We start from the raw sequence: 27,535 nt of genomic DNA, 5'->3' as shown, positions 1-27,535 counted from the left end.
ATTTCTTCCATTATTCCAGCTTCTGGGTTTAAAATGTTAGTGAGTGAAATGGTTTTGTTGACATTTCCAATAGAGGTCCCATGACCTCAACGTTGCACACTATTTAAACAGGAAATATACCCTTTTAGCACTGAAGTAAACACAACTGGCGATGAACCACCCGCAGGCAGCTTTCTAACAAAGCCCCTCAAACCTGCCTGACTTTCCTGCCACATGGGCCAAGGAAGGCAAACATAGCCATGAGAAGAAAAAGCTGACTCTCATTCCCATTTGAACCAACCACTCATATTTTCAATTCGTAGATTTTTGATAAATGTCATTGCCCCAAGGTCACCCCCAGGGTGTTGAGACTTTTATCTTGCCAGTCATCCTAGTTATTTTTCTTTCTCTTCCTTTTAAGAAGTTTTTATCCCTAATTTTCACATGTTGTTTATTAACAAAACATGTACAAGGAATGCAGACTCTATATTTCAAACATTTCTAGGCTTCAAGGATGGGAGAAGAATTAAACAAGGGAGAAGGCTGGCTTCCAGCAATAACACAGCTTTAACAAATACATGAAATATTTATAGAACACATAAAGAACAAAGGAAATGGAGCACTTCCTCGGTATATGATTTCTCTCAGTGTTTCTGTCGACCTGGTCTTTTGCCACTACTTTTTTTCCCCCTGAGATACCTGTTGAGCAACAAAGAGTGAGATGTACCTGGTCAATGTACTTTCAACATACCGTCTCTCCGATTTTGTAAAGGAAGAATCTCAGATGCTAATGATGATTGAATTAACATTTTCATTCTGAGAACATTGTTTTTTGGAGGAAATACACTGAGAAATCAAGGCCTCTAGTAAGTTGTAACTATTTGAGAAACCATCTAATTTTAACCTAGATTTTCAAGAACAACAACAAAAACTGCTAAAATATTTCGATTGCTATAGGAGAAGACACATAAATTGAGAAACTGGCAGGGTGATTTTCTCAAAGTAAAAAAGAAAGTGTCTTCATACTTACAGTCCATTCCTAGGGTTGCTCTTACTTCCCTAGAACTTAGTTTAACAGTTTTGCAAGCAGAATTATTTATTTAATTGACCACAGAAATTTTCATTATTTTTGTAATGAGAAAGAGAAATGGAGAGCATATTAGAGATCTGCTTCTGGGGTAAAAACTGATATATAACACCTAATATATAGCATTAATGGGTGTTGTTACTGAAACTGGAGAGTTCCCTGGCTCCCCTTGCAGGGCCTGTGACAGGGGTGTGGCTCTCTACACCACCACTGTGAGCTCAAACCCCTTTCAGGAGCGGGAACATGCAGATGAGCAGGTGCGGGAGCCAGGGCAAGCGCTTTGGGGTCTGGCCCCATGGTAGTGTCTAATGGTGGGTGCCTGTGACCCCAGCGTTACAGTGCTCTTTTAGCTCTGCTGTCCACAGACTGCTTAAGTGTTAACCAGCTCAGTGCCCCCTCTGCTTTTCTGTAATGGGCCAGTGTGACATTTTCTGTGTCATGAGCTCTTGTCCAGTGTCCCCAGGAGTATCGAGTCGCACACAGACTTGAAGGGTGGTGAATGTCGGGGCTTTATTGAGTGGTGGAGGTGGCTCTCAGTGGGATGCATGGGAGCTAGAAGGGGGATGGAGTGGGATCTTCCCCTGGAGTTTGGCTGTCCAGCAGCCGAACTCCTCTCTGACTGCTCCAGCCGAACTTCTTTTGGTTCTCAGACGCTCCTTCTCTTTCTCTGCTGCGCCGTTCTGCTGTTCATTTGCTTGTCTCCTTGTCTCCTCATCTCCCTCTAGGGCCTGGGGTTCATCGTTGATATAGGTACAGGATAGGGGGTGTGGTTGGCCAAAAGGCAACTTTTATAGCACAAAAACAGGATAGCCTGTCCTTATTTAGGGCTGCAGGTATCCGGGATTGAGAGTGGGGCCTTTGCCGAGGAACTGCCCTCTTCTACCTAGTATTTCTCTGTCGCCTGTTCGTATAATTACCACACATAATTCCCCATATAACTTGATCAAACTTACATCACTTGCTTTATCTTTCCAACACTTGGGTCCTGCATTTGTGCAGTGTCATTGAAGTGCTATTTATACTTAATAATTGATTTTTACAATGCTATTTTACATCCATTGTACCAGGAGCTGTGCTAAGTGTTTTACATAAAATATCCCATTTCATATTCATAGTAGCCCTTTGATTTTGGTAAAAATATCAAATATAAGAACACCAAGATTTGAGAAACCCAGGTGATTCTACCAAGCCGGAAGGAAGAGAGTCTTAGATCCCCCTGGATGTTCTCACTCTGCATGTATTCCCACCCCAGCTGGGACAATGGTGTCACTTTAGATTGTAGCATTTCCTGTTTCCTCTCCTCACAAAGTAAAATGTCATCATTGATTCAGAATAGTATTTTTGAGCATCGAATTTAACCTGTTCATTGTATGAGTGTGTGTGTGTGTGTGTGTGTGTGTGTGTGTGTGTGTGTGTGTTGGATATACTGGCTTAAGACAGTGGCCAGGTGTGGTAGCTCATGCCTATAATCCTGGCAAGGCAGGAGATGCCAAGGCAGGAAAATCACTTGAGCCCAGGAGTTTGAGGCCAGCCTGGGCAACATAGGGAGACCCCCTTTTCTACAAATAATAATAAACTAGCCAGGTATGGTGGTGCACGCCTGTAGTCCCAGCTACTCAGGAGGCTGAGGTGGGAGGATCGCTCAAGCCTGGGAGGTCGAGGCTGCAGTGAGTGGTGATCAGGCCACTGCACTCCAGTCTGGGCAACACAGCAAAACCTTGTCTGGAAAAAAAAAAGAGAGAGAGAGAGAGAGAGAGAGAGTAATAAGTATCAACATAGTGTAGATTCTGGAATCCATATGCAGCTATCAGTGGGAAACAGCCTCCTAGAGCCCCTTCTATTTTACAGCCCCCACTCCTCTTCCTCTGAAGACCTTGACTATGCTGCTCAGTTTGTTTGGGAGTAGATCATTTTTCACTTATAAACATTTCCTCCACATATGGTATTCAAATCATGGACTGTTACAAGAGATGTGTGTAAGCCAGGGCAGTAGTTTCAGAGAATCAAAAATAAGGCTTCATTTTAGCAAACAGCTTAGAGAAGAGCTCAGCATGGAAGAAAAGGTATTAGCTGTACACATGTTGAAATTGGAAAATTAGTTTAAATAAAGTAATTTTAAACAAATTTGGTTGACTGTGAGGACATGATAGTCTAAGTTACATTTCTGGATACATAAAAAATCTATTATAAACACATTCATGCAAAAAATACATACATACATATTCACCTATTTTTGAATTACTGTATTGTATGACCTAAGGAAATGTTACTTTTTTGATGGCAAAAAACTCCAAAAAGAACATTGTTTTAAATTTGGCAACCTACTTTCTCCTAACTCTATTAAAACTAGAAGATCCCTTTAACAATGCAATGTGTGTATATAATATGAGTGATCACATCTTTGTTCAGTTCAGTCTTTTCTCCTTATGCTTAGTCTCAACTCTGTCTTGAAAATAATAAAGAGCACATGTTAGCTGCCTGGAGCCAGTCGTCTAGGCGACTCCTATCATTTTTATATTATCGGTTTGCTGGGTGTAATTGGCATTTATATAAATAAACTTCCACCTCATACCTCCTTTCCTTTTAAGGCTCAGATTAAAAAGTTCTGCTCCTTCGTGGACCTTTCCAGAACCCCAAGACCTATTACCCTTTCTAACCTTCAGTTCCCACAGCAGCTGTTGATACCTCTTTAAGAGCTTCTGGTACAATTTGTCTTCTATCATTTTTTGAGAAATTTTGTATATTTTCTCTTATCCTGTAGTATGAATACAATATATGAATACAATGTGTGAACAGGAGTTTGATTTATTTCTATTATTCTGTTTGTTAGTGTCAACAGAAAGAGTCAAACTCTGTAAAATATTTGAAGAGATATATTCTGAGCCAAATATGAGTGACCATGGCCCGTGACACAGCCCTCAGGAGGTCCTGAGAACATGTCCAAGGTGGTTGGGGTGCAGCTTGTTTTTATACATTTTAGGGAGGCATGAGACATCAATCAAACACATTTAAGAAATACATTGGTTTGATCCAGAAAGGCAGGACAACTGAAAGCCGGGGCTTCCAGGCTATAGGTAACTTTTCCACTTGACAATTGGTCGAGTTTGTCTACAGACCTGGAATGATAGAAAGGAAATGTTCAGGTTAAGATAAAAGATTGTGGTGACCAAGACTTTTTTGAAGTATTATAGTGGCTGCCGTTAGAGAGAGAGGATGACAAGTGTTTCCTATTCAGACCTTTAAAAGGTACTAGACTCTTAGTTAATCTCTTTAGGATTGGGAGTACCTGGAAGAAAAAGATCTAGCCATGTTAATAGAGATTCTTTACAGATGCAAATTTTTCCCCACAAAGGACAGTTTTGCAGGGCCATTTCAAAATAAGGCAAAGAAACATATTTTGGGGTAAAATATTTTGACTTTCTTCTTTGTCATATAGTTGGAAAGTAAGAGTCAGATTGGGAAGTAAGTCACAATATATAGGGTCTGCTGAGAATTTATGGTTTGTAAGGTATGACTCTCCAGACCCCTTAAATAGGAATTAGGGCAAGATTAAAAAAAATCAGAGCTTAGTCCTCATTAGCAAGACTAGCACTGTCTTCTGTGTGTATGAGTCATTTAAACTTATTGGCTAAATAACAATAGAAAATGTTTATGTTTGCTCATGGTAGACAATAATTTATACAAATTTATACAAATATAATAATTCATACAAATACAAATTTATACAAATAATTTATACAAATTATTTCTTCTAATCCTCAGAACTATTATCCTCCATTTACAGTTAAGTAAACTGAGGCCCTGGAAAATGAGGCACTTTAGTTTTAAAAGCTGCTAAAGTCTATTGCTACATCATGCAGGTAAGTCTTTTTACTTATATTTGTCATATCACTCTTAACCTTTCACAAAGCTTTAAAATTAAAATAATAATGAATATACCTAGTACTTTTATGACTATGTTAACAATTCATACCTGTTCTTCCTAATATTCTACCTAGGTGATGTAATTTAAAGTTAAACAGATACAGATAAACTTTGCTGACCCTAAAATTCCCTTCCTATTGTTAGATATGAGTTCTAAATTTTCTCTTCAAAGAATCAATATGTCAGTATGTTTAATTCTTTGCCTTCTACTTTTAAACTTAACTTCCTCATAAAGCAACCTTTTTCAATTACCTACTCCACCCTGACTCATTCCAATTACCTGCTCTGTCATAACCATTTTTCCCGCCAAACCACTCACCCCGTCACTCTCTTTAAATTAGCCAATCGGAATTAGTTTAGCCCATGCGGTCTAACCCTAGCCAATAGGGGAACAACACAGCAGCACGTGCGTCAGGGATAAGAACCCCTTCCCCTCCCTTGTCCAAGTGTGTGGTCACCATTGCTCCATCTGTGAGGGCGCACCCTTCTATAAAAGTAAATTGCCTTGCTGAGGATTGAAAAGAAAATTTTATATTTGAGTGCTATTTCTTTTGTGGCACCGAAACTTTATTTATAACACTATGTACTGAATTTTAAAAACAAAAAACCTAATACCCTCCTTTTTGGCTTGGAAATCAAAACTAGGATTTCTATCCCCAGAAGGCAACAGTTAAAATACCTTAAGCTATGACTTCAGGGAAACCTTCTAGTTATCTTCCTCAACTAGTCAGAGTAGTAAGCAGTATTGTGGCTGATGCTATGAAGCTGACAGAAAGAAGCATCTGACAGATGAGGATGGGTGTATGTGGCAACCTCCAAGGAACTGTGGGAGAACCCAGACAATAAGCCCTGTTCTTCCAAAGATTTCAGCCCCCTTGTCGTTGCAAGGGACTATGAACCATTACATATGATGGCAAGAAACTTTAGTTACTAGTCTTTGAAACTGCACATTGCCTTAAAAGAGAAAATGTTAAGAGGTGTGTGTGTGTGTGTGTGTATGTGTGTGTTTGTATTATCTGGGAATAAGACAGGTAAGCACATTATTAAGCAAATAGGGGTGAAAGTTGTTTCCTAATAGCGGTCTTTAGCTTCAAAGGAAGACCTGATTTGACAAAAAATGAAGATATGTAGTTAAAACAGTGCCTATTTTAGGATGAGGCTGCAGAAAATTTGAACCCATCTCTGCACAAAAGGTGATGGATGGGGGCTTATGATCATCAAGAATAAATATAAGGAATAAAAAGAGAGCAGCTCCTTTAGCTTTCTTTCCTCTGCTTTTCTCCTAGCTAGCCTGGGCTCTGCTTTGCTTGTGTCAGTCAGCTCTGAAGAAGTCTCTGTCCTGTAATTTAGACTGTATGCCATTAAGTGGGATTAGTTCAGGGAAATTCACAGGAATAACAAAAGACAGAAAACATGAGGATGATGGGCCCCACCCCAGGACGGAAAATGTGTGGAAACATCAAGGGAATAAAAGTGTGTCAGGTAACAGACTTTGTCTATTGAATGACTTCATGATTTTGATCCTACGCAATACTTCACAGGAAACATTAAATTACATTAATCCAAAATTCCCTGGAAATAATAAAAGATAGAGGAGGAAAAAAGGTATGTAAAGAAAACAAACAAAAGACCTTGAAAAGCTATGAGAGAAAAGGGAGAAGAAAAGGGAACTAAAGCAGAAAAGGAGAAGGGTAACGTACTTTGCATGTTACAGAGAGATTGGACGCCACTGCTTACTGCCCCAGAGGCTACTAAGAAACCTTTAAATGAGATTTCTGTCTGGCTTGGAGAAGTTTGAGGAATAAATGCGATTAATCATTATTTTGATTCTTATGAAGAAAAAATAGCACTTCCATATAAACAACCATCTATCCAATTTTATTCAATGAATAGGTGAAAAAAAAGCTGTGAAACACTTCTATGATCACAAAAACACTTTAGTAGAGTACTCAAAATATCAGAAGCGTGTTTAAAAAGCATACATTTGACTAAATTGGAAATGTGGCAATTTACTAGGTGGCCATCTTAAGTGAACTGCTTTGCAATATTTGTTGAAGAATTAAATTAATTTTGTGCCTTCTCTCTCAATGCCTGAGTTTTCTGGGATCCTATTTTTGACAATTCATCTTTCCTTCTTCTATACATCATATTTTTGCTAGTGAACCAAAACCCATTTAAACAAAGTTTCATTGAATAAACAAAACAATACTGAGGTTAAAATAAGTTTCTAGCATTATTTCTGCAAATACAAATGGGTATACAAGTGACACACTTCTCTAAGACTTCAGTAGCAACTATTTTTAGGGGATATGATAAGATTTATTTTGAGTAAATTCAATTTGAAACCTCAAAATTGAAATAGGTTTGGCATTTTCTCATCACTGGCAACCACCCATGTTATTAAATAAGAAACCTGAGAACTATTTTTTCCATGAAATTTTTGAAATACCCACAAGTGGCATTAAATGCTATTTGGCTGTGCCAACACAGTCTTGAGTCTCTCTTGGCTGAAATGCTATCCAAGGACAAATGATCAAATGATGCCAATTTGCCTATATGAAGGTTCATCCCCCCTATCCCTGCTTTTTTCCCTTCAAGAATATGTACTTGAGATCAGTCCTAAGGAGTCTTCTTTAAAGCAGTGCCAAATGGCCATGTTTCAAAAAAAATGTGCTATATATTGCATGTGTGTGTTTAAATATACTCCAAATTCTTCTTTTCATGGGATAGTGCTAAGAAATTATGTTGCTCTAGTTCGCTGAAGACTTTCCATAAGTGGTAAGGCTTTGCTGTTTTCATCAGCTACTATAAAAAATAAATATCTTTAAATCATAATATCATTTATATTAAATTAATATTAAAATATTAATATCATTTATTTTAAATTAATTTTTAAGTGTTTACTATGTGCCTAAGAAAAAGACACAATTCCTACACTTAAGGAGTTTATAATCTTGTTGGGAAAACAGGCAAGTAAACAGGCTGCTAAAATGTAGTAAAACAAATACAGTGACAGAGGCGAGAATAAAGTATTGTAAGGGCCCAGAAGAGAAGCATCTAATCCCGCGTTAGAGAATAAGAAATGTTCAATGTTCACTGAAAGTATTTGAAACCACAGCAAGAACATAAACTTTTAAATAGCGATTTGACTATATATGTACGGGTCAAAGTTAAATCCACCAATTAGCTAGATAACTTTGAACAATTTCTTTATCCCCTAATTTTGGCTTTTATAAAATTGATATAAAAATATTGATTACAAAAGACTTTGGTAAATACTAAGTGCCTAGTGCCTTTTGCTTAGAAAATATTTGCTTAGTAAATATTAAGTGCCTGGTGCCTTTTGCTTAGAAAAACTTTTCCTTCAAATTTATATATAAAGGTATAAAACTTGACTGCATATATGCTCAGATATCAGGAAAACAACCTAAATATTATGAGAACCAATGGAAAATGTACCTTTTTAATATTTTTAGTCTTTTATGTAATATTTGCCTATAAAAATTTTGTTAACTACAGAAAGCATCAGGTATAACAATGAAAGTTAAGTCATTTTTTACATAAATGCTATTAAAAAACTATTCATGATAGTGTTATCACAAATATATTTTGGGCTCAGTAATTTCTAAAAAATTATTAAATCATAGTTTAAGATTCAATGTACCTTTTGATAAGATGGGATCACTGTGTTATTTAATGTAATATTTGCTAATAGAAAAAAGTTTAAGTGTATTGTATGTAGTTTCAATAAAACTTACAGAAATTTCCAAAGTCTTTACCTTTTCCAAAGTCTTGACACACTCACACAGACAGAGATTTCACAAACATGCAATGCCTAGGATATATTAGGTATAGAAAGAGATGCAAAAAATGTGTAGATATGGTTCCTGCCCTCAGCAAAACTGATGTGTACATGGTGGAGTGCTTAATGGCAGAACATAGGTAATAAGGTGATGGTGAGATCATTGGAAATGGGCTTAACATATAGCTAAATAGACATGAGGTTCCTGGTTGTTCCAAAAAAAAGTATTAATTCTTGTTTCCATACTTGCCCCTGCCTAATCCATTGTCCACACATTTGTCAGACTGTTCTTTAAAAAATATTTATTATATCATACAGACTTCTTGTTAGACACTCTATGATGTCTTTCACTGAACTTGGGACAAAGACTAAAATGAATACTATGGTCTATGAGAGGCTTCATGATTCGGCCTCTGCCTGCCTCTCCAGACTTATTTATAAATATTTTCTCTCCTTCATTATGCCTGAACTCATATAGCTCTTCATTCTTCACAGGTCAAAATCTATTCTGCCTCAGAGGCTCATACTTGGCTATTTCCCCAGCTTTCGTTTAATGTAACATTTAATCTTAAGCATGTCCTCTAGAATTAAACAGGTTTTAACTATCTAACTTTTAATGGCTACGTGATCACAAGTGTGTATCGTTATAGAGGGACATCTTCAGTTTCTGACACTAGAAATCATTCTTCATTTTTATGAAAAATTTTCTTTTAATAACTAATTTTCCTTTACTCTCAACCTATGATTTGGGTAAGATTGTTTTTGCTTGAAGTGCCATAGATAGATCCTAATTAGTTTAAACTAGTCAACTTATCTCTGCTTTCTGGCCATAGAATTCTTCAGGACAGGGCATCTGAAAAAATTTGAGTCAATGCACAGGATATTGTCCTGGGAAGCACCATATAAAAAAATAAAGAAGAGGAACAGAATCTGCGGCAAAGAAAGGTTAAATTATTGATAGCATGTTTTGAATTCTGAAACATCAATTTCTGAAACTAGAACTTCTGGGGTTTTTTAAATTTAAATTTTTATAAAAATGCTATAATTAATATCTCAGCAAATCTTTGTCCTCATGTCCGATTATTTAAGAAAATTACTAGAAATTGGATTAATGATCCAAGGGTGAGATTATTTTTAAGTCTTTTAATAAATGTTCCCAATCTGTTTTTAGTACAGTTGGTAGCAATTATTATTCCCACCATCGGCGGGTAAGGGTGACTTTTCCAACTTGAAAAAAAATTCTTAAGAAGGAAACAAAATCTTTGCCTTGGATTTCTCAAGTAATTACATATAGGTAGTACTAAAATTAAGTTGGAAACAATCTGTATTCTAATAAGTGGGAAAAATAACAAAAACTTGAACCTATTTGAGGACAGACCATATCCCAATGTTTCTGACATCAGAAAAGCTTAGATAATTATGGATGGATGGAAATTAGTTCTAAACAGTAGAAAATACAGAAGAAATTGAGACTATATGGCCTAGGTAGGTATCTAATAGATGCAAGCATTTAGCCAACAGACAATCAATTTACAGAATTTGCTTGTTTTTTAATAAGCATTTAATTTTAGTTGACTACTTTGCATTATACTCACATAAAAATGCTATAAAGTATATTTTATTTGTCTAAGCCTGTAGGCCTCTTTTGAAAACCAAATGAGAATCAGCCAATTGAAACTAAATAGTTGAAAAAACAAGCAAACTTGGCAAATTTGGTTATTTGCAGGATTGCCTGGTTTATTGGCTTTTGAAAAACTGGCTTTTGCAAAATGATCTAGACACAAATCTAGTCGGTAAATTTTTATGAGGGACTTGCTAGGGAGCTATTCTTTATGTTCTCAAATAAGTAGATCTTATGAACAAAAAATAAGCTTGAAGGAAAGGACACATTTTAATTGGACATAAAGACAAATGTGCTAATTTTAAGGATGATAATACATTGAAATGGGTTGAGTTTTCATATGTTGAGACACTCAACTGCCTGTAGTTATCTCTAAAGTTCCCTTCCAGGCTCACAAAAATAATATCTCATCCAAACCAATCCAAAGAGAAAGAAAAAGTCAAGTCAAAGACAACCAGAGACAGATAAAAGCTCATGAAGCATGGTCTAGACGGGCAGGACAAACTACAAAGATTTTAAGCATTTCATAAGATTAGTGGTAGATCAGGTGTGGAGACAGACATAAATATGATGCCTATACCTGGTTCTCTAGAAGCAGAACGTGCTTAGCCATTCTGGTGCAAGTTATTTATTGGGAGAGCCCTCTTGGGAGAAAAGGAGTGATGGAAGCATGCTCTGGCTTCTATTTTTACATGGAAAAAGTTAAGCATGGATTTGGTCTCAGTTGGAGTCCAGCTTCAGCCTTTAGCTTTGGGCCTGACCCAGGGACAGTCCTGGAATCTGAAAGTCCTTCCTTATCAGTCAACCATTGTCTGGGGGCTGCTGTGACATTCCAAGTAAGATGGCTTTCATTGGCTGAAAGCAATTCTCCACTATAGAGGGCAGCTGTGAGCTATTAGCAGCCAATACTTATAGGAGCTAGGCAGGATGCTGACTGTCTAAGTAAAGGGCCCCCGGGTGGGGGCACTGACAGCTTTTAATGTATAATGTAAATGTAGACTACTAGATGCATTTTTCTCTAGTCACTCTAATTAGTATTAAAAGCATTTACTAATTACCTTCATAATGGTGACTTTTAAAATCATGTATTAATGCTTCTCAAATATTTTCATTAATGTATTTCTCATGTCATAAGGAAAGGAGTGAATATTGTGAAACAGGGAGACTGCTCTCTGAATGTCTAGCATTTCTTTGGCATTTTTTTAATTTGTAAAATTCAAATAAATTTCATCTTCTACTCCACATATACCTATGCTGATTTTGATGAGAAAATATTTGATGTTATAGAAAAGTTAATATATAGCAACTTGTTATGAAATATTTCAATAAAATTTATCCACCAGGAGGATGCTTCTGATTTTTGTGGTTTACTTTGGCACTTTGAGGATATGGGTACCTAGGCAGTAGGTGGTTGGTAATCTGGGGGAGCTAACGTTTCTATTTATATTTTCATGCTTACTAAATTACAAGGATATATTTGAGACAACGGTGACCTTATTTATTTTGTTGTACATCAATTCATGTTGTTGATATTAGGGCTAAAGGATTGTTTTTCACTAGTAGATGGATCTAGCATACTAAAGATTTCTTAGCTACGCATCTTCTTTTCCCTATATATCTTATACTTATATCATTTGTTCCATCAAAATATATTTAGACTTATATAGTTATTATCCTTAATGTAACCTGTGATTGTTTATTTGAATTTCACTGACACAAGCAGTGGGAGTACAAAAATATTTTAACCAATCTTACTTACTTCGTGGAATAGCAAATGAGCTGAGTTAGACCACAAAATGCTGGACTGGATTTGAAGACTGGCAAGAATGTTAATTCTGACTGGCATCCGTGGTGTTTCATTTCAGTTTACCACCCAAATAGCCAACAAGTAGTGCAAAGGTCACAAGAATTGAGAATAAAATAATTGACTGGAAACAGCTCTGTAAAGACACCCTATGTTTCTCAGAGACACTCCCACAATTCAGGAGTCAAAGTATCCTGTAGGTATTGAGAATCCTGTTCAGTGATAGCAGCCAAGAAATGGGGCTGTTTCATCCAGTAGGCTTGGGCGGAGGCCACATTGACACTCAGCTGTCTTCCTATCAATACGGAAGACAACACTTTTATGCTGTAGACACATTTATTTCTTACTGCTGCATCAGGCCTACCATGGGCTTGTTACACAGAGACAGCTTAACTGTTGAAGATCCTTGAGTGAGCAGGCTTATTGTGGGGCCAAAATACAAAAAATAAATCAACTAAACCCATTTCTAGAGCAAAAAAAAATCCACTATATAGGAATATTCTAAATTGCGTGTTAAAACACTGAATCCAACTAACCAGAAGACTGTTTTATCAATTTGTTGATTTCACAAAATTGGCCAAAGGCTAAATAATCAGTATGAAACAGTCAATACTCATAGATTCAGTATGTCCCACTAAATAGGGAAAAAACTTCCAAGACACCAGTAACATATTTTATGTGGCATATAGTAAGCAATTGCTACATGTATTTGGATAAATTATTATATTTTCTGTGTTTACTTCTGGAAACAAGGGTTCAGTTTTTTTTTTTTTTAAGAAAATAATCCATTTATTTCAAATTGCAGTTTATTCTGCCTATAAAAAGTAAAGGATTTTTTTTTTGTACTTTTAGCCTTCCAGCTATTGTCAGATAGTTATTGTCAGGAATTCCCTGCTACCAACAAGAAGCCTTGTACTTTCCATCCCATAGAGCTATTTTTCTTCTCTCTTCCTCTAACTCTCCCTCTCTCTGTCTCTGTTTCTCTCTCATACACTCACATACATATCTTCTAGTGAAAATAGATTTGGATCTCCAGTTTATCCAAATATTTTTGGACAACAATCCTATTTTAAAGAATTTCCAGCTGGGCGCAGTGGCTCACGCCTGTAATCTCAGCACTTTGGGAGGCCAAGGCAGGAGGATCACTTGAGGTCAGGAGTTTGAGACAAGCCCGGCCAACATGGTGAAACCCCATGTCTACTGAAAATACAAAAATTACCTGGGCACAGTGGCAGTGCCTGTAATCCCAGCTACTCAAGAGGATGAGGAAGGAGAATTGCTTGAAACTGCCAGGCAGAGGTTGAAGTGAGCTGAGATTCCACCACTGCACTCCAGCTTGGGCAACAGAGCAAGACTCTGTCTCAAAAACAACAACAACAACAACAACAACAACAACAAAGAATTTCCATAGGTCACTAAAATTTTCATTATCTACAGATCTGCCTTTGTTATTTATGTATCTGTCTGTATCTAAGAATTTATTCATTTATCAATGAGTGTTTATTTTTGATATCATTTAGAGTTAGGTCAGTAATTGTGTATCATGTGCACTTTTATTTGTTAAGTAAGATAATTCATTCACCTCTTGCATTTTACTTGTTCTTTATTTGTTTACAGGTAGGAAGTTGTTATATACCTATATATTAATTTTTCATTTATTACTGAAAGATTAATCAGACTAATTTAAGATATTTTGGATTTCCTTTAGAGGCTAGAGGCATACAATTCAATCCAATTATTTTATTCTTTAAAATTAATTATACCTATGTAGCATAAAAATGAATTATTCTATGAGTAAATAATTTAATTTCACTCCCAAAACACATTTTAATAGATACTAAAAGATGAATAATGAATTTGATAACCATGGCCCTGTAAGTAAGTATATTGCTGGAGGAGATACAGTATAAATTTCTGGCACAATTTCTTTAGGCTGATTTTATTATTAGCAAAATTAAAAAAATTAAAATTGTACTAATTTGAGTTATTTAGTAAAAGAAAGCAATACTAGGTGGAAAATAAATTTTTGTTTCTCAAAAAGCTGAATATAAGCCATGTTTTATATGGAAGGAAATAAAAACCTGTTTGGACTACTTTATTCTGTAGCCTAGAAAATAATTCAGTAGCATTACTATAAAAGCTTGTTCACTGCATTAAAACACAGAGATTAGTCAAGCACAGGTTGCTCATAACAACCAGGCTTGATAATTCACAGTAATATTCTTCCTGAACATTTTGAGCTTTGATACTATCAAGATTTTTTCTCTAGCTTCAGAATCATTATATTAAGGATTTGAGCTTAAATTATCCATTAATAACTTTCTGGCCAATGCTATTGAAATACAACACTCTCATATCTTCGCTTTCACTCATCACTATACAATATACTCCTATTTTCAGTGTTATACTAGTTTAAGCCATTTTGAGAGCTGTTTTTCTTTAAATACAGGTATTATTCCAGATTTTTGCTTGCAAATGACAGAAACCCAACCCAAAAGCTTAAGTGGAAAAAGGAAGACATTATTGGCGGTGATAACTAAACCACAAAAAAGAATGCAACCCAGTCTAAGTCTCAGATTCCCTCTCTATGTCCCGTTCTGTGTCTAGCTGTACTCTTCAGCCTTTCAGGGTATAGTGGACACTTGTTTGTAACTTCACCAGTATGCATGCCACCTTCTTCCAGATTTGCTAGAAAACCTGTATGGTTCTGGAGATGTTAACTCTATCCCTGACATCAGAAATCAAAGTCATACATTTGCCAACAAAGGGAGCCTTAGATTGTGCCACTAGCCTACTGTGACATTGGCCTTTTCTATATCACTGTTTTTCTTTTTCTATTAAGATAAAATTCACATAGCATAAAATTCACCCTCATAAAGTGTATACTTCAGTGCTTTGTAGTATATTCACAGAACTGTACAACCATTACTATGATCTAATTTCAGGACATTTCATCATCCCTCAAAGAAACTTTTCACACATTAGCACTCATTTTCCATTCCCTTCCATTTTTCTCAACCCCTGAAAATTACTAATCTACTTTCTGTGTCTATAGATGTAGCTACTATGGTTTTCCATACAAATGGAATCGTCCAATATATTTTTGTGTCTGTGTCTGGTTTTTTTTTTAACTTAACATAATATTTCCATGATCATTCATGTTGCAGCATGCAGCAATACTTCATTCCTTTTTATGGCTAAGTAATAGTTCCAGTGTATGGATGTACCACTTTTGCTTATCCACTATCCATACTTTTATTCATCAGTTTATGAGAGTTTTTTTTCATTGTTTCTTTTCAGTTGTTTCTACTTTTTGCCAATGATGAATAACATTTTTATGAATTGCTATGAAAATTTGTATACACGTGTCTGAGTGGACATATGTTTTCATTTTGAGGAGTATATAAGAAAGGGTGAAATTGTTAGATCATATAGTAACTTCTATGTTTGTTTAACTTGTTAAATAACTGCCAGAATATTTTCCAAGCCACTGCACTGTTTTACATTCCCACCAGCAATGTATGAAGTTTCTAATTTCTTCATAATCTCACCGGCATCTGTTGTTTACCATCCATTTTATTCTAGCTATCCTAATGAGTTTGAAGTGATACTTCATTGTGGTTTTGATCGGCATTTTTCTGTGGCTACTAATGTTGAGCTTTTTTCATGTGCTTGTTAGTTACTGCATATCTCTTTGGAGAAATGTCTGTTCTTGTCCTTTGTCCCCATTTTATTGGGCTACTTTTTGTTACTGAGTTGTAGGAATATTTTATATAGTATGGAGACTAGTCCCTTATCAGAAAGATGGTTTGCAAATATTTTCCTCCATTCTATATATTATATTTGACCTTCTTTATAGTGTTCCTTGAAGGAAAAAAGCTTTCAATTTTGATAAAACCCAATTTATCTATTTTTTCTTTTACTATTTGTGCTTTTGGTGTCATATCTAAGAAATCAAGGCCTAATTAAAGGTTACCAAGATTTATATCTATTTTTTCTGTGGGTTTTATAGGTTCACCTTTTATATTTATGTTTGTAATCCATTTTGAGTTAATTTTTATATATGCTATTTGGTATGGACCCAATTTTATTCTTTATCTTGTGGATATCCAGTTGTTCCAGCACCATTTGTTGAAAGATATTTCTTTTCCCATTTGATTTCTTTGTACCTTTGTCCGAAATGACTTACCTATAAAGGTAAGAGATTATCTTGAACTCTCAATTCCCTTTCATTTATCTATGTATCTGTCCTTATGCCAGTACTACATAATTTTCATGGCTTTGTGGTAAGTTTGGAAATTGTACTAATTTTGGAAAATGTGATTTCTCAAATTTTGTTCTCTGTTTTTAAGATTGTTTGGGCTATTCTTGCATTTTCATCTAAATTTCAGGAACCGCTCATCAATTTCTGTAAGTTATCTGGGGTTTTGATTGAGATTGCATTGAATCTGTAGGAAAATTTTGTTAATACAGCTATCTTAACAATATTAATTCTTCTAATTCATAATGATGGAACGTATTTCCATTTATATTGCTCTTCTTTAATTTCTTACAATGACTATTGTAGCTTTCAGTGTCCAAGTTTTCTACCACTTTTGTTAAATGATTCCTAAATATTTTACTATTTTAGATGCTACTGTAAATAATTTTTCAAAATTTTATCTTTGGATTATTCATTGTAATATATAAATAAAATTGATTTTCATTGATTTCATTTAGACAATCTTCTACTGTCTAAATTCATTATTGGCTCTAGTAGTTTTTATTATTATGACGATGGATTCCGTAAGTTTTTTTGTATCTCAGATCATCTATAAATAGAGTTAATTTTACATCTTCCTTTCCAATCTTGATACCTTTCATTTCTTCTTTTTTGCCTGTTTGTCCTGGATAGAACCTCCAAAAATGTTCACTAGAAGTGATGGGAGCAGAGATCCTTGTATTGTGCCTGATTTTAGGGAAAAGGCTTTCAGTCTTTTACAATTAAGTAGGGTGTTAGCTGTGGACTTTTAATAAATATTCTTCATTGAGTTGAGCTTCATATTTCAACTTTTTTGAGTATTTCCTTTTTATGAAAGGATGTTGATTATTTTCTAATGCTTTTCTTCTATGTCTATTGAGATAATCATTTGGGTTTTGTGTTTTATTATATTAATGTGCTTTATTATATTAATATAGTATACTGCATTAATATATTTTTGTATTTTAAGTAATTTTTGCATTCCAGGGATAAATCCCATTGGGCTATGGTGGATAATCCTTTATATATGTTGCTGAATTCAGATTGTTAATATTTTATCACAGATTTTGCATCTATATTCATAAGAAGGATAAGTCTGCAGTTTTCTTTCTTGTAATGTTGGTGCTATGAGTTTTTATATCAGAGTAATACCGGCCTCATAGATTGTGTTGGAAAATGTTCCCTTCTCTTCTAGTTTTTTGGATGAGTTTGTGAAGGATTTGGTATTGATTTTTCTTTAAATGTTTAATAGAATCGTCAGTGAAGCCTTCTGGTCCTGAGTTTCACTCTATGGGATGTTTTTTGATCACTAAAAGGATTATAAAGGGAATACTATGAACAATTATATGTGAATGTATTTGATAACCTAGATGAAATGGTATCCTGGAAACATACAAACTACCAAAACTCAAGATAAAATAGAAAATTGAAATAGATCTCAAAAAAGTAAAGAGGTGAAAATAATAATAAAAAAGACGTAATAAGAAAACCAGAGAAGTATATCCCTTATTAATATAGATGCAAAATCCATGATAATATCAAAAAGCATTTATTTGTTTTTATTTGCAGTTATTTGTTGATATTTCAATTTGCTAAGACATTGTTCTTATATTTTCTTTTAGTTCTTAAGACGTGGTTTTCTTTAATTTACTAAGCATGTTTAAAATAGATGATTTAAAATATTTTTAGTAGGTACAACATCGTGGTTTCCTCAGGTACTGTTTCTGTTGACTCGCTTATTTTTACTATTTATTTCCTTGCATGTCACATAACTTTTATTTCAAAACTAGACATTTGAAATAATACAGTGTGGCAACTTTGGAAATTAGATTCTCTCCTATCAGTGTGTTTTGTTGTTGCTACTTATTGTTATTATGTTTGTTTAATGGCTTTCCTGCACTAACCATTTGAAGCTGTTACTGGCCGCGAATCCATATGGGTCTGCAGCAATCTTAGTTCTTGCCTCCTCAGAAGAAAGAATTCAACTGAAGGGCATAAGGCAGAAAAAGAGACAGGCAAGTTTCAGAGCAGGAGTGGTAGTTTATTTAAAAGGCTTTAGAACAGAAAAGAAAGGAAAGGAAAGGAAAGGAAAGTACGCTTAGAAGAGCCCCAAGTGAGCACTAAGATCAAGGGTGGTGTTTAACCTTGTTCTTAGGACTTTATAGGCTGGCCTCTTCCTCATGATTCTTCACTTAGGGTGGGCTGCCTGCATGCACAGTGCCCTCTTGACCCTCGGGAAGTGGGCACATGGGGTGTGTTTAGGAAGTTGTACGCATGCCCATCTGAGGTTTTCTTCCCTTTTCTAATGGAGTGCTCCCGGAAGTTCGTACTCCGCCGTCTTGTCTCTTAATGTATATCCCCAGGAAGTTGCTTCTCTCTGGCATCTGCATTCAGTTAAAACAGTCGTGCAATAGGTGTGGACCATCAGGAAATGGCCTCTCCCTAGTGCCAGCTGCCAAGTTATCACTTTTAGAAAGGCAATGTGATAGTTGCCAAACTGTCACCTAACATTTCTAGTGGTGGGTGGGGGGAGAGCCCTCTCCTTCCCACCTCATGCCTAAGTACCTGTAAAAAAGCCTTTATTCTTTATTGTCTGTGAGCTCTAAAGTCTCTGCATGTTGAGTTTAATGGCCAGTTAATGAGTGGACAGAGATTCTTTAAGTCTCCCATTTTCTGAGTGGCCTTGTATGCATGTTGGGGGCATGGCATCAGTGCGGCAGCAGGCAGTTTGCATCTCTGCCTTTCCCTTCATTTCCTGCTCATGCAGAGGCTCAAGGTCAGCCAGAGGTGAGTGCTTAGAGCCTTCTTTATAATTTCGGGGTATACACATAGTCCTTGACATGCACATAGACCATTGCATGCAGATAGCCTCCTAGATTCCCAAGAATTTGTTGTAGCTTTTCAAATTTCCCTTTAGATATCTTAACTCCTAGGCTTTTTGTTTAAGTTCTTTAATCACATGTTGTTTGCCCCAGTTGTTATTGCCATATCAGGCAACTGCAGTGTTAAACAACTGCTGCTGATTATTTTAAAATGCCCCCAGGAAAAAGATCAGAGCTGAGTGAGCTTTGATTCAGGTCCAATAAACGCAAGCTTTGGAGTTGGATTTTCCAAGGAATTTCTAGATAGGTCAGGGGGTGATGGTTATCTGAGAACGGGACTTTGAAAAAGCTCTAGCCCTGTACTCTCATCAGTGACTGCTAGGCTGCTGGTTTCACCATGATTGCAGGCTGTTGGTTTTCAAGGCTATTGCAGAACTAAGGAGAGAACTAAGGCTATTGCAGAACTAAGGGATGGGAATGGGACAAGTTAAATTGCCACAGGCTCACTGTTGTCACTGAAATTCAGAAATTTTTATTGAATAACACTCCTCCGATTGTTGCAAGTCTTTGGTTAATTCCCACAGTTCTGAAAATGTTGATTTTTTTAAAAGTGGTGGTGGTGTTCTTGTTGCTTTTAATGAGCAGAGGATATTTGAGGTTTTCATTCTGCCATCCCCACTAATGTCACCTCTTATCTGCCACTTACATGTACAAGAATTCGAGTTTAGTTTTTCCTTTGAACTGTAACCAAGAGCATCTTAACTCATACCCTTCTCTACTCAGTATAATTCATGGCTTCCAGTTCTAACCTCCAGTCTGTTTTTGAAGAACTAGCTTCTAATTCAGAAAGTCCTGGGATAAATTCAATTGGCAAAACCTGGATGATCTACCCATGTTCTATACAATTACTAGGGTGAGAGTGAGCAGTCCTTTGATTGTTCCAGCTGAGTGGTCAGATAAAAGTAGGAGTGGAACTGTGTCTGGAAACCTCCACCTGTCCACATGATAACAGATAGGGAAAAACAGTTTTCCCGAAGTAGAATGATATTCTGAATAGGCAGAATAAAAAAAATGCTCACAAAATGCAGTTTGTCATTCTCAAAAAGGAATTGTGACTTACTGGCAAAAATATGGCAAAATCAGGAGAGAAGCTATACCGCGCCCTCACTCTACTTTGGTTTCTTCCTTGTTCCACACTCCGTGATTGTTATTATAACAAGCTTCATAACCCCAAACTCCGTGAATGAACTTCGTGGTTATGACTTCTCTGATCTGTGGCAATACTGAAGGGCCTTGATGTAAACGCTTCTGATGGGAGAAGAAGGAAATACTAAAGAAAAAAAGTAAATAGCATTCTACTCACCAGGAAATGTATACCAGGATTTTTCATGGATAGTAGAAATAATGTGATCAAGCATATGCTGCCAAATGTCTGGCACACCACGTGAATTCAAAAACATTAGGCAATCAAGCAGGGATTTTTTATTTAGAAATTCTGATAAAACTATATTCATGATTGCATTTTAATCAAGTTACTATACTGCCTTTGAATGTTATCGTAATTTCAAGGTTTAAATAGTGATTGTATTTTTGTGTTTCTTTTGTATTTAGAAAAAGCAATTAACACCCAATGAATAGATTTTGATGAAAATGGCTTTGAGAAGTAATTATCTAAGTTTGATTCTTACACATAATCATAAGCCAACCTTTTAAAGTTTAATGAAGGTTTTGCCTCAGTCCACCCTCTTACCTCAAAATGTTACAGACAATGCAGGCAATAGTGCTATTAATTAAAATACTGCACTATTCTTGATACAAATTATGACTAGGGAAATATACCAAACAAAGTAGAGGGGTGGCGTACCTGAAGTCCTTTGTGGGCTGATCCTGCTGAGGCTACGGGCATAACTTAAATGACTAGATCTCAAATAAGAATCATTCCAATTCCCCTTTTCCTGTGTAAAAATAAATATTTCATGACTTTTAGGCTTTCTGAAATTCAATCTCATTCTATATCCTGTCTTTTGGAGCCATTGCTGGTACAATCTCAGGAGCAGCAGATAACAAGGGATTGATAATGAAAGTGAGATATGTGCTATAGCTATTTGCTGTGTATTTTACCTCCCTTCCAGCTAAAAGATATCAGCGGGAAGACAAGGGCTGTTTCTCTGCTAAGCCCTTGATGATTATTTGGCAGAACAAACTTTTCGATTCATAGACTCTCAGAGATAGGCACAGTCTTGTTATCTATTCTGCTATTTATTTAATACAAGAATTGCTCTTGTATCCTTAAATTTTGTCATTCAATGACTGGAAACCACACTTCCTGGTGACACAATTCATTCCAATTGCACATACCTTTTAGAAACCTCTTCATTGTGTAAGCTGCAATTTGACTTCTTAAAAGTTCAAACATTGTACTTGTTTTGTCTTAAGTGGATAGGGAAAACTGAAAAACTTACAGCCTCAGAATACTGAGAAACTTCATACTAGGTTTCACAGAAAGATTTCAGTTTAGATATTTTTGTTGAGGTAATAATTCATAATATTGGAAAAGTAATATAGATACTGCTTTTGCCCTCCATTGAGATATTTGACAGTTTCTCACTATTATGAATATGATGCGAAAATGTAGGCTAGGTGGTAAAATTAATCCATACTAGCTGGTTAAAGGCCATCCAAAGGACGCCTATTAATGGATTTCTGTTAACTTGGAGTTTGGAGGCAAAGGTTCTTTTCTTGGCCCTGTCCCATTTGACATTTTTGTCAATAGTTTGCATTAGAATTAAGAAAGGATATATTTGCCAATATGCAGATGGCATGAGGTAGAAAAGAGGCGCTTTTATGTATAACGACTAATAAAATCAGATTCAAAAATATCATAGCATGTTAGATGTACAGGCTAAGTCTAATTATAAAATTTTAATAAGGGTAGACATGGTCCTTTTCAAGTAAACATTGGAGGTCTATAGCTTAGAAACATGATATGAAGAAAGCCTAGAAACTTTAGTTGATGGAAAGGATATGAGTGCTTTTATACAGGAGTTAGCAAATTAAATCCCACCATCTGTTGATAAATGAAATGGTATTGAAACATAACTGTACTTACTCATTTACAGCATGCCTAAGTCTGCTGTCATGCTACAACAGAACTGCATATTGCAAGAGGAATTTGAGGACCAAAAAGCAAAAAATATTTACCATCTGGCCGTTTATGAAAAGTTGTGTTGGCCTTGATCTAATGCAAATAGTTTTCGTTAATACATATAGATGGTCCATGTATATGGAGATAATAACCCCTGACATTTTTGACACTACTGCTTAGTTTTATCCTTTTTAATAGTTTCAGTTCTGGACTCCACATTTTGCTAGGGACATTACCAACTATCCAGAAGACAGAGATGGGAAATGTAAAGGGACTGCAAAAAAGCCATGTTACATAAAGAACCGTGAAAGAAACTGGAAATAATTTCCTTAGAGGACAGAAGATTCCTAGGAAATAAGGTAGCTATATTTGTGGTTTCATATATGTGAAAAATAATTGCATAGAAGTTATCTGCTATATTATGAAGCTTTAGAGGGCAGACCTAGGAAAAATTGGTTAATGAAATATATGGAGCTAGGGTTTAACATATTAAAGAACAATCTACTGATTAAAATTATCCAAAAATAAATTCTATTGCACTGGGAGGGCATTGTTCCCCTCTGTAGAAAGAATTGAATCAGGAAGGCACATCCACGTTTTTGGATATGTAGACATGATCTTAGGAACAAGGAAAAACACACTCTTTGATAACTTTTTGGTCCCTATAAATGCTGAGACTGTGCTATTTTATGTCTGTTACCGATCACAACTCATCCGGACTTCATTTTGTTCTGACTGGTTTCCAGCTTTGATCCCATCTGTTTCTTGTTCTGGGCCTGTCTGGTTTGTCAGGTATCCCCTGAGACACAGGCACCTACCACAAGTTCCAATTACCTCGTCCTAACATCCATCTGTAGGACTTTGCTCTTAGATGCAATCCCACTTCAATTATTTTATCCAAATGATTATAATTCTGGCCTCAGACGGGATAGTGACAGCGTAGTCCTAATCTAAGTCCTAGGATCATGCTCATTCACGCAACAAATATCCATTTTTACTTTTTGTTTACTTTTTTTATTAGCATCATTTACTTGCTTTAGAACAACAAACATCCATAGACCACCTAACAGGTATTATTGTAGCACCTGGGGATATAGCAATATTTATTATTCATAAATGATCCTAATCTGGGCACGATCTTGTATGAGTCACTTATTTTCTTGTCCACTTGTTGCCTAACAGGGATAATATTTATAATAGTCTACCACTTTGTGCTGCTTAGAAATATCTGTTACATTTCACCAACACTGAAGTGCCGCATACCACTTGTTAGGTACTGTCCTAAGCACTTGGTAATATTCGATCATTTAATCCTAATAACATGTCTACAAAATAGACCCTATTATTTATTATTCTTATTTTACTGATGAGAAAATAGAGAACAAAAGAAATTAAATAACTTGACCAAGGTCATAAAAAAATTCTAAAGCCAGGATTCAAACACCGGTAGCTTTGCTAAAATCCCTGCTTGTCATCACAGATGCTAGGTTGAGTGAAAGTTCCAGTAGCTTAGCCGGAGGTGTTTCCCTTTCCCTTTTCTCTTTTCCCTGATCTTCTTTATATGGCCCAGAAAATTCTTTCAAGGAAAGCCATCCCATGGCTAAATCCTGGAAAGTCATGCATCTTTTGAGTTTCAGCAGGTATTTGTCACATAAGGTACGTGACGGAGCTTTGCATAATCATAACATGGGAACTCAAAACTCTGCTTAACTTCACCATATTGATATGTTAGAAAAATGGAGGAGGAGAAAGAGGAAGAAAAGCAGGATGGGAGAGAATACTTAATTGTAAATGCAATCATACAGAAATAACAACCATATAACACCCACCAAAAAATATTATTCAAATACTGTGGTCACTTTTAGAAAATAATATTGCTCATGTGTTAAATTAAACCTATCAAATTTCTTCCATTACAAGGAAATGTGGATTGGTAAGTTTTCATGCTTGTATTATGCCTAATTCCTGGGCCTTTTGCTCATAAAATTGCAGCTGCTTCTATGGTAATCCATGCATTGTACTGGAAGCAGAGCAGAATTAATGTATGCACAGAGATTTTTTAAAAGGCTGCTTGCATGCTTACATATCACTTTGAAGTTTGTATTTGTTCACAGGACTATCTCCTTATAGGTATTGCCTAAGCTTTGGGTCCAACCTTGTATATAGATTTCTATATTGTTGGGTTTTGATATGATTTCCTAATCTATCAGTTTTCTATTAATCCTTTATACATCATCATCACACTGGACCAGGTAGTAGTTTCAAAGTAGTCACTCCCTATTTGTTTCTAGCTGCATTTCTCTTATATTTTGTATGGTGAAAAAACATTTGTAGTGCATATTTTACCTAATAGCAATATATTATAAGCCCCTTCTTTCCTTCCTTTCTCCATTCCTTCTTTCCCTCCTTTAGCATGTATCAATAGCCCAACATGTGTCAGGTCTTGGACTAGGTTCTAGAACACAAAGGTGAAGCATATACCACTTGCTTTTCTATGAGCTCATAACTCAGAAGGAAATCTCTAATAATAGATAGTAATAAATACTGTAATGAAGATGTGTATGAGATACTATATTATGCTGTGAACCCTAGAGGAGGGGTGTTATTTGTTATTTATTTGATAAATAACACGTATTCACTAAGGATTAGACATTGGGCTAGATGTTGATAGAAGGTGAGGATGCTATAGACAACCTTTTGATGAGTTTTGCTGTGGGAAATTGCATCTTAATAGAGTATAGGGAAGGTTAAGTTGGGTGATAATAAGGCAAGTTGATGTAATGGAAAAGACATAAAAGAGAAAGAAAAAATGCTGATGCAGTATAATGAGAAAACTGAAGGATCAAAGTCCTTGAAAAGGCTAGAGGAGGCTTGATCTAGGTCACAAGTGGTGGTGTTGATTAGATAGAAGGAACTATTTTTTTGCTCCTAACAGGAGAGAGGATAAATTAGCTCTGTGGCCACAGACCTAGGTAGGGAGGGGTTATGGTGAAAAGATAAAGCAGTTGTCATACGGTTGCCTCTTTTTATGTATATAATAAGGTCACCACTTGTTAGTGAAGGTGGGAGACATGCTGGATATTTTTAGGTGCACATAGAAAAAATTGTTTTGGGGAGTAAAAGAGTGAGATTACTACGTGGGCAACCTGTCTCAAGATTTAAGGGCTTATTTGAGATTTTGGTTTTAAATTTGAAGGAAGTAGAATTGAAATGTAAAAGTTTCTCTAGCCATGTCCTGCTATTTAATATGTGCAGTTGTAGAATCAGCAAATTATTGGATTGAATTGCTATAGTGTTTTCCGGAGTGAGTACATAAGAAAGAGGGATTAGCAAAGATGTTTCCATGAAAGTAGTTATGGTAGTGAGCCATGAATATGAGCTCTATGAGGAGGAAAGTGAAACATTAGTGAACAATTTAAAAGAACTTGTTCCCTTCAGGCAATCTGGGGCTTTGAAATCTTGCTTGTATTAGGTGGGTAGGATATGCCTTATTCATGGGTGTGTTTAACAACACATGAAGGGCTTCTGAAACTCAGCATTTAAAAAAAATAGCAAAATGGGAATAACTAAATAGAAACTCTCTAATAAGACCTATATTTCATTATATGTTACAGACAATGAACAATGAGTGTTGGAGAATGTCCTTTCCTGCCTCTTAATCATTCTGAATCGAAACTAATGATAAACTTCAATCAATGACATTGAGGGGATGGGTAAGGGATAATATAAAGAGTCCTCTATGCATGCTAATTTGTTGTTACATGTGACCTAAGATGGTGGTTTCTTGCTTTAAAGACCTTACTAATCATTACAGAGTATTCTTATTCTCTGCTCAATAATTTGGAAATGACTTAGGTCCTGTAACTCTCTGTGTCTCTAATTTCTGATCTCTGTATTCATCCATGCTGTCTTTAGTACAAGTATTTATTTATGTAGACTTCCCTTGTTCTGTTCTTTATGTTACATGGAGGAAATTCTGAGAAACTTCATCAGTAGCACTATGAAACTCCTTCCATACAGAACAGTCTAGAACAGGCATTGTCAAACTGGGCTAAATCTGTTCTGCCATCTGCTTTTCTAAAGAAAATGTTGTTGGAACACAACCACGTTCATTCATTTCTGTATTGTCTGTGGCAGAGATTGACCATCACGATAGAGACCATATGAGTTGAAAAGCCTAAAACATTTATTACCTGGCTCTGAACAGAAAATACTTGCTGACTTCTGGTCTGGAACAGCACTGTGTATATACCTCAGGTTTAATACTGGAAGTCTCCATTAGTCCTTCTTCAGAGGTGACTAGAGTGCACAGTCATAATGACAGGGCCCCAAGGACTTCTCTAACTCACACTCCCTGTCCAGTCACCTTCACTGCAACAACCATCTTACCAAGGGGTGCTGTCACTGCTCCTGTCCACTTTCTGGCCGTCAGATGCCTCGAGAGTTCTTCTTGCCCTTGATAAGGAATAAACTTGTCAGTTGCATGTGGCAGTTTTTCAACTGATTTGGGAGATGATGCAGATTTTGCTATTTCTTAACTTTCAATTGTTGTGTTTTCTGGTTCTCAGTAGGGAGACATGAAGAAAATTGCTGATTCCCTTCAGTTAAATAACAGTTTAGATTAAACCAGCAAGAACTTTTGCTCTTTAATAAAATGCAAAGTTACCATGCCTTTCTCCGGCTCGATCATTCATGCATCATAATGTGAATGGAGTTGTAGGAGTATGATGTTTATTCTCACAATAGGTTTAATTCTGAGTAAAAGCACTAATTGAAAAATCAGAAGAATTTTGTCTTTAAGAGCTCATGTTAATGCATGCATTCATCCATCTGAATTTTGATGATCTCGGTTTTTTTCTGTGTAAATTCTTATCAGAATGGAGTGACTCTAAATTGCGCCCTGCTTGTAACTTTCATGTATGATTTGCTCCCTTGTTGTTTACCAGCCCTTTTAAAACTACATAGTAGAAAGAAAATATTTTAAACAATGTCACATCCAGACGGTGATTTCTCAAAGCTTCAAATGCAGGCTTTAATCCTTCTCCCAGGTTAGCCAGACTCAGGCTGCTGCACAGCACTGGGGCTTTTCAGACACATTAAGGATTCTGGAC

General features: G+C 36.0%; 1 long non-coding RNA gene across 1 annotated transcript in view; it reads left to right on the top strand.

Annotated features, from left to right (window-relative positions):
- The window catches only part of LINC02516 (long intergenic non-protein coding RNA 2516), a 58,493-nt gene extending 31,402 nt beyond the window's left edge, over positions 1–27,091 (top strand). The window contains exons 6-9 of the long non-coding RNA NR_110838.1: positions 4,829–4,926; positions 6,277–6,472; positions 22,623–22,783; positions 26,039–27,091. This is a non-coding gene — a long non-coding RNA (long intergenic non-protein coding RNA 2516). The remainder of the gene's footprint in view (positions 1–4,828; positions 4,927–6,276; positions 6,473–22,622; positions 22,784–26,038) is intronic.
- The last annotated feature ends 444 nt before the right edge of the window (positions 27,092–27,535 follow it).

This window comes from Homo sapiens, chromosome 4 (assembly GCF_000001405.40).
Source record: "Homo sapiens chromosome 4, GRCh38.p14 Primary Assembly".
NCBI lineage: Eukaryota > Metazoa > Chordata > Mammalia > Primates > Hominidae > Homo > Homo sapiens.
The sequence above is the reverse complement of the archived record's forward strand: the minus strand, read 5'-3'. Positions and strand labels throughout refer to the sequence as shown.